Genomic DNA, 11,902 nt, shown 5'->3' on the forward strand with positions numbered 1-11,902 from the left:
CCTGGGTTCAAGCAATTCTCCCACCTCAGCCTCCCAAGTAGCTGGATTACAGGCCCCCACCATCATGCCCAGCCAATTTTTGTATTTTATTTTATTTTATTTTGAGACAGAGACAGGGTTTCACCATGTTGGCCAGGCTGGTCTTGAACTCCTGACCTCAGGTGATCCACCCACCTTAGTCTCCCAACGTGCTGGGATTACAGGCGTGATCCACCATGCCTGGCCTTAATTTTTCTATATTTGTAGAGACAGGGTTTCACCCTGTCGGCCAGGCTGGTCTTGAACTCCTGACCTCAAGTGATCCACCTGCCTTGGCCTCCCAAAGTGCTGGTAATACAGGCATGAGCCACCGAGCCTTGAATGAATGAATTCTTGACTTCCACTCTATCCCTAATACTGTCACTTTCTTGATTCATGAAATGAATATGGATATCTGGTATGAATGGATATCTGATTCAATCCATTAATCTGGGGAGAGCCAAAAACCCAATCAGGATTAACTGGGTGGAGCTTCAGAAATGCAATCAGATACCACTTTTTGATTGGAAGCTAGCAGCGGATACGTGGAGGGGCGTGGGTGGGAGTTGTGATTAGAAAGGTCAATAAAAGCTTCTAAAGACCCACAGGAGAGACCCAAAGTCTTCAAGCCTGGAGTTTCTGCTTGGTTTTTCCTGAGGTCTGAGCACCCTGCAAACTGAGTCCAGATCTGGTAAGTCCCTAATCTCTGTAAGGACACTCCCATCTGACCTACAGTCAGCCGGTCTGGGATGGTGACAGTGCAGGCACAGAGTTATATCCTGTCTTTTTTTTTTTTTTTGTATGAACAATTTGAAGCTTTGACTTTTTCCTTTAAATGCAGTTTTGTCTTCATTTCAAAAAATTTGATTTGTGCTTTGGTTTATATCCTTTCAGAATTCTTGGTGGGAGTAGTGACCCATGCCTACAATCCCAACACTCTCGGAGGTCAATGTGGGAGGATCATTTGAGCCCACGGGTTCAAGACCAATCTGGGCAACATGGCAAAACTCCATCTCTACAAAATATTTTTTTTTGGTGGGGGATAGAGTCTTGCTCTGTTGGCCAGGCTGCAGTGCAGTGGCATGATCTCGGCCCACTGCAACCTCCGCCTCCCAGGCTCAAGCAATTCTCATGCCTCAGCCTCCTGAGTAGCTGGGATTACAGCCGCCTGCCACTATGCCTGGCTAATTTTTGTATTTTTAGTAGAGGTGGGGTTTCACTATGTTGGCCAGGCTGGTCTCGAACTCCTGACCTCAAGTGATCCACCCACCTTGGCCTCCCAAAGTGCTGGGATTACAGCCATCAACCACCAGTCCCCAGCCTCTACATAAAATGTTTTTAAATTAGCCGGGCATGGTGGCATGCATCTGTAGTCCCAGCTATTTGGGTGGCTGAGGTGGGAGAATCCCTTGAGCCCGGAAGTTTGAGGCTGCAATGAGCCGTGCTCACACCACTGCTGTACTCCAGCCTGGGCAACAGAGTGAGACTCTGGCCCCCTCCCCCCCACCGCCAAAATATATCTTATGCAAACAGTTTAAACAATATCCAATTAATTGAAATCAGTAGGCAGATCCCAACCCACCCCCCTTCAAAAAAGGAGAGAAAGAGTTTAGAAGTCTCTACATGCTAGCATCCCATTCAGACTGTTTAATCCTACAATTGCGGTTTTGTAAGAAAAACAGTCTTAAAGATTTCCAATAATTCCCACAATGGCCTTATGGTCATTATCCTGGGTGTAATTTTCCCATCAGTTTAAAAATGCACATGAGAATGACCATGAATTTTGAAGGTATAGCTGGCTGGAGTCCCAGAGGCTTTGTTTGGGATGCCTTAGAATTTTGAGAACCACATTCCATTTCTTAATAATATCTCTAGAGCAAAGGAAATCCTATAAATTCTGTTGGAATTTGAAGAGTTTGGGCAAAGTGATTTGGTTTGACAAGTGTTCCGTGTACAGAATTCTCTCTTTATCCTTGGTGATGGCCTGTGCCCTCATTGTTCCACCAGTGACCAAGACTTTCCGAGTTGCATGAAAATTGACTTGAGACTTGCTTATGTCCCAGTGGTAATTTTTGCCCACCCATGACAAGATTATCCTAACACTAGAGACTTTTTCTCTGGTGTCCTTTATACCTGGCTGTGACCACCTTAGTGGCTTTTAATTGGTCATTCTGTGCTGCCTTTAATTTAATTTATTTTATTTATTTATTTATTTAATTTAATTAATTTATTTATTTATTTATTTTTGAGGCAGAGTTTTGCTCTCTCACTCAGGCTATCCGGGCTCACTACAACTTCAGCCTCTCAAGTAGCTGCGATTAGAGGCATGAGCCACCACACCAAGTTAATTTTTGTATTTTTAGTAGAGACAGGAGTTCATCGTGTTGCCCAGGCTGGTCTCCAACTCCTGACTTCAAGTGATCCACCCACCTCAGCCTCCCAAAGTGTTGGGACTGCAGGCGTGAGCCACCACACCTGGCCTCACATTCTTTAATTTTCTCAAACTGCTTTGCTGAGCTAAGCCCATGTCTTTGGGAGGAAACACCCTTTAACTTCTTGGAAACATTGAACCTTTCTCCCTCCCCTCAAGGATAATGTTGAATTTTTCAGATTCTACATCTTCTCTTTTGTAGCTACTTAACCTTTTAATTTTTAACCTCAATCTAGACACCAGACTTTCAATTCTTCAAGATCCCCAAACAGATCCCCTAAGATCCCCCAACATATTCACATGTCGTGGTTTCTTCCCCAAATTTCATTTAAAACACTCAGCCCCACCCTGCCCGGCTCCCACCCTTCATTTTCCTATCTAGTTTTCACTGTAATTGAATTATCCTATCCAGTTTTCATGGTAATTTTGGCCTGATTTCCTTCAGAGAATCTTTGAGCTTAATTTTAAACCAATCACATCCTCATTGTAACTCTTCCACCCGAATGGAGACATGGGTGCGGGGGTGCATGCCTGTAATCCCAGCTACATGGAAGGCTGAAGCATGAGAATCCATTGAACCTGGGAGGTGGAGGTTACAGTGAGCCAAAATGACGCCACTGCACTCCAGCCTGGGCTAGGAAATGAGACTCAGCCCCCCACCCTGCAACACCAAAAAAAATTAAATTATACCACCCAGGTAATCACTGGATACATGATGATTTCTATTGTGTTTTCTTAGGGACTGTCATCTCTGTCTTTGTAAACTGTTTTAACTCTGAAATATTCTGATAAATTTGTGACCAAGGATCCCTCAACAAAGATACTTTCAAGTTTTTTCTTTCTGTCTAATGTCAGGAAGAGATTCAACCCTTCCCTATCTCACACTCAGGACTAGGAAGGACATATATTAGTAAAATTCCATGTTTGTGGAGTGAATCAGTGAATGAGTCATGGACTTTCACCCTATACCTAAATCTTTCACTTTCATGGATGAATATCTAATTCAATCAGTTAATCTGGAAGAAAGCCAAAAATCCAGTCAGGATTAACTGGGTGGAGCTTAAGAGATTTAAATGTAGTTTTCTTTTTTGTTGTTGTTGTTTTTGTTTTTGTTTTTGAGATGAATCTAGCCTATTTCTCAGGCTGGAGTGCAGTGGTACAATCTCAGCTCACTGCAACCTCCACCTCCTGGGTTCAAGTGATCCTCCTGCCTCAGCCTCCCTAGTAGCTGGGACTACAGGCACACACCACTGCACCTGGCTAATTTTTGTATTTTTGGTACAGATAGGGTTTTACCATGTTGGCCAAGCTGGTCTCAAACTCCTGACCTCTAGGCATCCACCCTTCTCAGCCCCCCAAAGTGCTGAGATTACAGGTGTGAGCCACTGTGCCTAGCCAAGGTGTTTTCTGATTGGCAAAGGGGTGATGTGATTAGAAAGGTCCATAAAATCCTCTGAAGATCTATGGGAGAGACCTGAGGCCTGGAGTTACTGCTTGGTACTGTGAGGGGTCCAAGCACCCTGAACACTGAGTCCAGATCTGGTAAGTCTCCACCTCCATAAAGACACTCCCATCTGATCTGCAGTCAGCCAGTCTCATAGTTTCAGGCAGCCCAAGATGGCACAGAGAATTATCCTGTTTTATCAGATGAACAGATTTTGGCTTTGAATTTTTCTCTAAATGCAGGTTTGTCTTTATCCCCAAAATTTTGATTTATGCTTTGGTTTTTGCCATTTCAAAATTCTTAGCCAAGCAGTTTTTGTGTTTTTGTTTTTTGTTTATTTGTTTGTTTGAGAAGGACTCTCATTCTGTTGCCCAGGCTGGAGTGCAGTGGCATGATCTCAGCTCACTGCAACCTCCGACTCTCTGGTTCAGGCGATTCTCCTGACTCAGCCTCTCAAGTAGCTGGGACTACAGGCACCCGCCATCACACCTGACTAATTTTTTTTTTTTTTTTTTTTTTTTGTATTTTTACTAGAGACTGGATATCACTATGTTTTCCAGGCTGGTCTTGAACTCCTGACCCTGTGATCCACCTGCCTTGGCCTCCCAAAGTGCCAGGATTACAGGCGTGAGCCACCTCACCCAGCCTTCTTGACATTTTAAATACATATTTTGTGATTTTGTGTGCCCTTAAATTATAGTTCATAGACTTTGGGGTATTGTGATTTTACAAGTTAGGTTTTCCTTTTTACTAAAAGTTTTTTTTGAGACAGGGTTTCACCCTGCCGACCAGGCCGGAGTGCAGTGGGGCAATCCCTTCTCACTGCAACCTCTGCTTCCCGGGTTCAAGTGATTCTCAGGCCTCAATCTTCCAAGTAACTGGGATGACAGGTGCATGCCACCACGCCCAGCTAATTTTTGTGGGTTTTTTTTTAGTAGAGACGGGGTGTCACCATGGTGGCCAGGCTAGTCTCCAACTCCTGACCTCAGGTGATACACCCGCTGCAGCCTCTCAAAGTGCTGGGATAACAGGTGTGAACCACCGCACCCAGCCCCTTTAATAAAAGTTTTAAAACATTCTATGTAATATATATATATAGAGAGAGAGAGACATAGTCTCACTCTGTCGCCCAGGCTGCAGTGGAGTGGCTCAATCTCAGCTCACTGCTACATCTGCCTCCCAGGTTCAAGTGATTCTCCAGCTTCAGCCTCCCAAGTAGCTGGGATTACAGGTGTGTGCCACCATGCCCAGCTAATTTTTGTATTTTTAGTAGAGATGAGGTTTCACCATATTGGTCAGGCTTGTCTTAAGAGTGATAGCTTTGTTCTGAACATGTGATCCATTTGTTCCCTTATGCTCTATCCAAAGTGGTTCTTTGTTTTTTGAGCTTGGAGTTTCATTCATGTCGCCCAGGCTGGAGTGCAGTGGCACAATCTCAGCTCACTGTAACCTCCGCCTCCCGGGTTCAAGTGATTCTCCTTCCTCAGCCTCCCAAGTAGCTGGGATTACAGGTGTGTACCACCATGCCCAGCTAATTTTTTTGTATTTTTAGTACAGACAGGGTTTCACCATGTTGGCCAGGCTGGTCTTGAACTCCTGACCTCAAATGATCTGCCTGCCTCGGCCTCTCAAAGTGCTGGGATTACAGGCATAAGTCACCATGCCCAGCCAAAGTGGTTCATTTTTAATATGTGTAAGAAGTGTGTATGGAAACATCTCTGTCTTGCGAATGATCCATAACATTGTCACATAGCTTTCAAAGTTTCCCACTGAAATTTTAAATAATGAGGCCGGAGCAGAGGCTCATGCCTGTAATCCCAGCACTTTGGGAGGCCAAGGTGGGTGGATTGCTTGAGTCTAGGAGTTCAAGACCAGCCTGGGCAACATAGGGAAACCCATTGTCTTTACAAAACATCAAAAACTAAAAGGTTAGCTGGGCATGGTGATGCATGCCTGTGGTCCCAGCTACTTGGGAGGCTGAGATGGAAGAATCCTCTGAGCCTGGGAGGTCCAGGCTGCACTGAGCTGAGATTGCACCACTGCACTCCAGCCTGGGTGACAGAGCAAGACCCTGGCAAAAAAAAGAACAAAGGGAGGGAGGGAGGGAGGGAGGGATGAGGGAAAGAAGGAAAGAAGAAAGGGAGAGAGAAAGAGAAAGAAAGTAAGCTTAAATAATGAAAAGAAAACAAAACAAATAGAACCCATTCTAGGGATGCCCCATGAATGTTCCCAACCAGCTTATTTGCAGGAACTGAGAATGTAGGCATGTAGGCTTTTGACACTCCCATTCCCATTGTTTTAGAACCTTGAGTAATTAGAAATTTCCCCCAAAGGTGGGAGGGATTAGCTTTCAGGTTCCTCCATATTTACTACTCACTGGATGAGCACTGGATAGAAAGGAAGGGCTAGTGGTGGCCCTGCCTCCTCACTGCTTGGGAGATGCTTATGCTGATGCAGCAGAGGCAGAAGCCTGGCTTTGTGGCCACTGAGTACAGAGTAGAATTGGAGTAAACTGAGGGCTCTTTCACCATTGCCAGAGCAATGACTTTGGCCCTGGGAGATGAGATTGCATGGGCTTGGCCTGAGAGTGATGCCTTTTCTCTGGATTTGTCCTCTGGAACTTTTCTTTGCAGATTCAGGAAGATGAGCATCCGGACTCCACCCAGACTCCTGGAGCTGGCGGGGCGGAGCCTGCTGAGGGACGAGGCCTTGGCCATCTCCACCCTGGAGGAGCTGCCCACGGAACTTTTTCCCCCATTGTTCATGGAGGCCTTCAGCAGGAGACACTGTGAGGCCCTGAAGCTGATGGTGCAGGCCTGGCCTTTCCTCCGCCTTCCTCTGGGGTCTCTGATGAAAAGGCCTTGCCCAGAGACCTTCCAAGCTGTGCTCGATGGGCTTGATGCACTGCTTACCCACAGGGTTCGTCTCAGGTGAGGTGGCCCAAGTGGGCTGGTGGGGAGGGCCCAGGTGTCCAACAGAAGGAACAGCTGGGTCATGAGGAGTGAGGAGGTCCAAGGAGGGCCCACAGGCTTCTAATGGTTTTGGTGAGGAAGCTTAGAGAGGCCTTGGCCATTGCCCAGCTCCTCAGGGAAAGGACTGCTCATCACCCGGGGTCCACCGAGGTAACAGGAACCTCTCTTCTAGTGGCACTGAAAGGCACCACTAAAAGTGGGAACTAGGCTGGGCACAGTGGCTCACACCTGTAATCCCAGCATTTTGGGAGGCTGAGGCAGGTGGATCACCTGAAGTCAGGAGTTCAAGACCAGCCTGGCCAACATTGTGTCCAGAATTGGTTCCTGCCGGTGGGTTCATGGTCTTGCTGACTTCAAGAATGAAGCCACAGACCTTTGCAGTGAGTGTTACAGTTCTTAAAGATGGCACGGACCCAAAGAGTGAGCGGTAGCAAGGTTTATGGTGAAGAGCAGAAGGACGAAGCTTCCACAGCGTGGAAGGGGACCTGAGTAGGTTGCCGCTGCTGACTGGGGTGGCCAGCTTTTATTCCCTTATGGTCCCCTCCCATGTTCCATTTCTGTCCTATCAGAGTGCCTTTTTTTCAATCATCCCCACGATTGGCTACTTTTAGAATCCTGCTGATTGGTGCATTTTATAGAGCGTTGATTGGTGCATTTTACAATCCTCATGTAAGACAGGGAAGTTCCCCAAGTCCCCACTGGAGCCAGGAAGTCCAGCTGGCCTCACCTCTGAACATGGTGAAACCCCAACTCAGCTAAAAATACAAAAATTAGCTGGGCATGGTAGCAGACACCTGTAATCCCAGCTACTTGGGAGGCTGAGGCAGGAGAATTGCTTGAACCCGGGAGCTGGAGGTTGCAGTGAGGCGAGATTGCGCCACTGCACTCCAGCCTGGGCGACAGAGGGAGACTCTGTCTCAAAAAAAAAAAAGTGGAACTGGGCAGGATCCAAGGGTAAAACAGGGTGGAGAAAAGTCAGAGAGAGGGAAAAGAAGCAGGGAAGAGAGCAGCTGATATCCAGGATGTGAAGTATAAGTTCAGAAGTGAGTCCTTTTTTTTTTTTTTTTTCTGAGACGGAGTCTTGCTCTGTCGCCCAGGCTGGGGCTAGAGTGCAGTGGCGCGATCTCAGCTCACTGCAAGCTCCGCCTCCCGGGTTCACATTATTCTCCTGCCTCAGCCTCCCGAGTAGCTGGGACTACAGGCGCCCGCCACCACGCCCGGCTAATTTGTGTGTGTGTGTGTGTGTGTGTGTGTGTGTGTGTGTGTGTGTTTAGTAGAGACGGGGTTTCACCATGCTAGCCAGGATGTTCTCGATCTCCTGACCTTGTGATCCGCCCGCCTTGGCCTCCCAAAGTGCTGGGATTACAAGCGTGAGCCACTGAGCCCAGCCTCAGAAGTGAGTCCTTAAATTCTCAGCCTCTCTTCTATTTTTCCTCAGGAGGTGGAAACTTCAAGTGCTGGATTTACAGGATGTCAGTGAGAACTTCTGGATGGTTTGGTCTGAAGCCATGGCCCGTAGGTGCTTACCAAATGCCATGATGAACAGAAAACCACTGCAGGACTGTCCAAGGATGAGAGGACAGCAGCCCTTGACTGTGTTCATAGACCTTTGCCTCAAGAACAGGACTCTGGATGAATACTTCACCTGCCTCTTTCTATGGGTCAAGCAGAGGGAAGGTTTAGTACACCTGTGCTGTAAGAAGCTGAAAATGTTGGGAATGCTCTTCCACAATATCAGAAACATCCTGAAAACAGTCAACCTAGACTGTATCCAGGAGGTGGAAGTGAATTGCAATTGGACACTGCCCGTCCTGGCAGAGTTTACCCCATACCTCGGCCAGATGAGGAATCTTCGGAAGCTCGTTCTCTCTGACATAGATTCTCGCTACATTTCCCCAGAGCAGAAGAAGGAGTTTGTTACCCAGTTCACCACTCAGTTCCTCAAGCTGCGCTGCCTCCAAAAGCTTTATATGAACTCTGTTTCTTTCCTCGAAGGCCACCTGGACCAGATGCTCAGGTGAGGAAGGGTAGTGAGCTTTCTCTGCAGACCACAGCAGAGCCTTTCTTGTTACAGGGGGCATCTACTGTGAGCCAGCCTATGAGGATGTAACAGTAAAGGGGACACTAGAATGTCAGTGCATTTTCCTGTTGGAAGTGGGTATCACACATTCATCCCAATGAAGACAGAGGAATCAGCTGGGGTAGATGCTATAGAGAGGCTGCCATGCTAGGAAGCTAGCTACTGGAGGATTCAGATTTAGTGAGGTTGCATTTGTGAATTCTTCCTGAGGATGTGTGTCTAAGTTAAGATGATGAGAAATAGGCCAGGGATGCTGGCTCATGCCTGTAATCCTAGCACTTTGGTTAGTGCTAGCAAGAGGATAATTTGAGCCCAGGAGTTTAAGACCAGTGTGGGTAACACAGCAAAGACTCCTGTCTAAAAAATAAATAAATAAAAAATACAAACAAGATAATTTTTCTTTTTTTGAGATGAAATTTCACTTTTATCACCCAGGCTGGAGTGCAGTGGTGTGATCTTGGCTCGCTGCAACCTCTGCCTCCTGGGTTCAAGCAATTCTCCTGCCTCTGCCTCCTGAGTAGCTGGGATTACAGGCACGGGCCACCACTCCTGGCTAAGTATTTTTAGTAGAGATGGGGTTTCACCATGTTGGCCAGGCTGGTCTCAAATTCCTGACCTCAGGTGATCCACCCACTTCGGCCTCCCAAAGTGTCAGGATTATAGGCGTGAGCCACCACACCCGACCCAAAAACAAGATAATTTTTTTTGTTTTTTTGAGATGGAGTCTTGCTCTGTCTCGCTTTATTGCCCAGGGTTCACGCCATTCTCCTGCTTCAGCCTCCTGAGTAGCTGGGACAACAGGTGCCCGACACCACGCCCGGCTAATTTTTGTTGTATTTTTTAGTACAGATGGGGTTTCACCATGTTAGCCAGGATGGTCTCGATCTCCTGACCTTGTGATCCGCCCGCCTCGGCCTCCCAAAATGCTGGGATTACAGGTGTGAGCCACCGCACCCGGCCAAAACAAGATAATTTTTAACAAGATGATGGGAAGTAGGGAAGTGAAGTGGGCACTGAAGAGGGGAATGCTCAGCAAACCTGCACATGTCAGATTATGAGCTCTGTGCCCCACAGCTTGGTGAACATGAATGATCCCATGTCTAATTCCCTGTCATAATGGGTTGTTTTGAGCTCCAGGTAAATTAATTACCTGAGAAATGTATGATTCTGAAACAGAGGGTCAGGGACCAGGCACAAAGAATGGTGAAAGTGATAGATGGTTTGCTGATGATACAGGCGTGTCAGGGACGCCTGCAGCCTGCCCACCCCAGCTGATGTTGCAGGATCCTGCCTGGGTTTGTCCTTTATGCCTGCATCCCCAATGGTCTCATGTGGCCCAGAGATGTGGTTTTCTGCCTGACAGATGAGGAAAGGGAGCTTTAGGGATTCTGTGAACTGGATCCATTCCTATAAATGATAGGGAAAAGACTCAGCCTGAAATGGGTTTTTTATTTCTCTTTCTTTTGAGACAGAGTCTCGCTCTGTCACCCAGGCTGGAGTGCAGTGGCACGATCTCTGCTCACTGCAACTTCCATCTCCTGGGTTCAAGCGGTTCTCCTGCCTCAGCCTCCCAAGTAGCTGGAATTACAGGCGCCCACCACCATGCCCAGCTAATTTTTGCATTTTTAGTAGACAGGGTTTTGCCATGTTGGCCAGGCTGGTCTCAAACTCCTGACCTCCAGTGATCTGCCCGTCTCAGCTTCCCAAAGTTCTGGGATTACAGGTGTGAGTTACTGCGCCAGGCCTAAAATGGAATTGACCTCAGTGGCAAAGCTCTTCATCACGCAGCATCCTAAGTGTTGACTATCAGACAATCAGAATGACCCTGGGCTTGGGCAAAATGGTCTCCATCCATCACTTTGAAGTCATTCCCTACCACCCTCCACTCACCCCTACGATTCCCCAGAACTAACTTCCTGCTCTCTCTCCCCAGCTGTCTAAAGACCTCGTTAAACATCCTCGCAATAACTAACTGTGTGCTTTTGGAATCAGACTTGAAGCATCTGTCCAAGTACCCGAGCATTGGTCAACTAAAGACCCTGGACCTGAGTGGCACCAGACTGGCCAATTTCAGCCTTGTGCCGCTCCAAGTTCTCCTAGAAAAAGTTGCAGCCACCCTTGAGTACCTGGACTTAGATGACTGTGGCATCGTAGACTCCCAAGTCAACGCCATCCTGCCTGCCCTGAGCCGCTGCTTTGAGCTCACCACCTTCAGCTTCCGTGGAAATCCCATCTCCACGGCCACCCTGGAGAACCTGCTGTGCCACACAATCAGACTCAACAACTTATGCCTGGAGCTGTATCCTGCCCCGCGGGAGAGTTATGATGTTCGTGGTATCGTCTGCCGGAGCAGATTTGCCCAACTTGGGGCTGAGCTGATGGGGAGAGTGAGGGCCTTAAGGGAGCCCGAGAGGATCTTGTTCTGTACCGACTACTGCCCTCAGTGTGGCAACAGGTCACTTTACGACCTGGAGGTAGATCGGTGTTGCTGTTGAATGCCTGCCTATTTGGGTGGATATATCAAACTCTTTTTTCTGAACACTTGAAAACTAAAACCTAGGTCTTTTTGCGCCCAGGCTGGAGTTCAGTGGCACAATCCTGACTCATTGCAACCTCTGCCTCCTGAGTGCAAGCGCTTCTCCTGCCTCAGACGCACCCGCCATAACACTTTTTAAATATTTCAATCCCACATTTTAAAAGTTACATCTAGGCTGTGCACGGTGGCTCACACCTGTAATCTTAGCACTTCAGGAGGCTGAGGCGGGGGGGTGGCTCACGAGGTCAAGAGATCGAGACCATCCTGGCCAACATGGTGAAACCCCGTCTCTATTAAAAATACAAAAATTAGCTGGGCGTGGTGGCGCATGCCCGTAGTCCCAGCCACTCAGGAGGCTGAGGCAGGAGAATCGCTTGAACCCGGGAGGCAGAGGGTGCAGTGAGCCGAGATCATGCCACTG

At 47.7% G+C, this 11,902-nt stretch overlaps 1 protein-coding gene across 1 annotated transcript; it reads left to right on the forward strand.

Moving 5' to 3' along the window:
* The first annotated feature begins 631 nt into the window (after positions 1-631).
* On the forward strand, positions 632-11,510 carry PRAMEF20 (PRAME family member 20). Its single transcript, NM_001099852.2, has 4 exons — positions 632-726; positions 6,533-6,823; positions 8,304-8,882; positions 10,879-11,510. Exons 2-4 carry the CDS (start codon positions 6,537-6,539, stop codon positions 11,438-11,440), a joined length of 1,428 nt encoding a protein of 475 aa, NP_001093322.2. The 5' UTR covers positions 632-726; positions 6,533-6,536; the 3' UTR covers positions 11,441-11,510.
* Positions 11,511-11,902: the final 392 nt, after the last annotated feature.

Source organism: Homo sapiens, chromosome 1 (assembly GCF_000001405.40).
Source record: "Homo sapiens chromosome 1, GRCh38.p14 Primary Assembly".
In the NCBI taxonomy this organism is placed as follows: domain Eukaryota; kingdom Metazoa; phylum Chordata; class Mammalia; order Primates; family Hominidae; genus Homo; species Homo sapiens.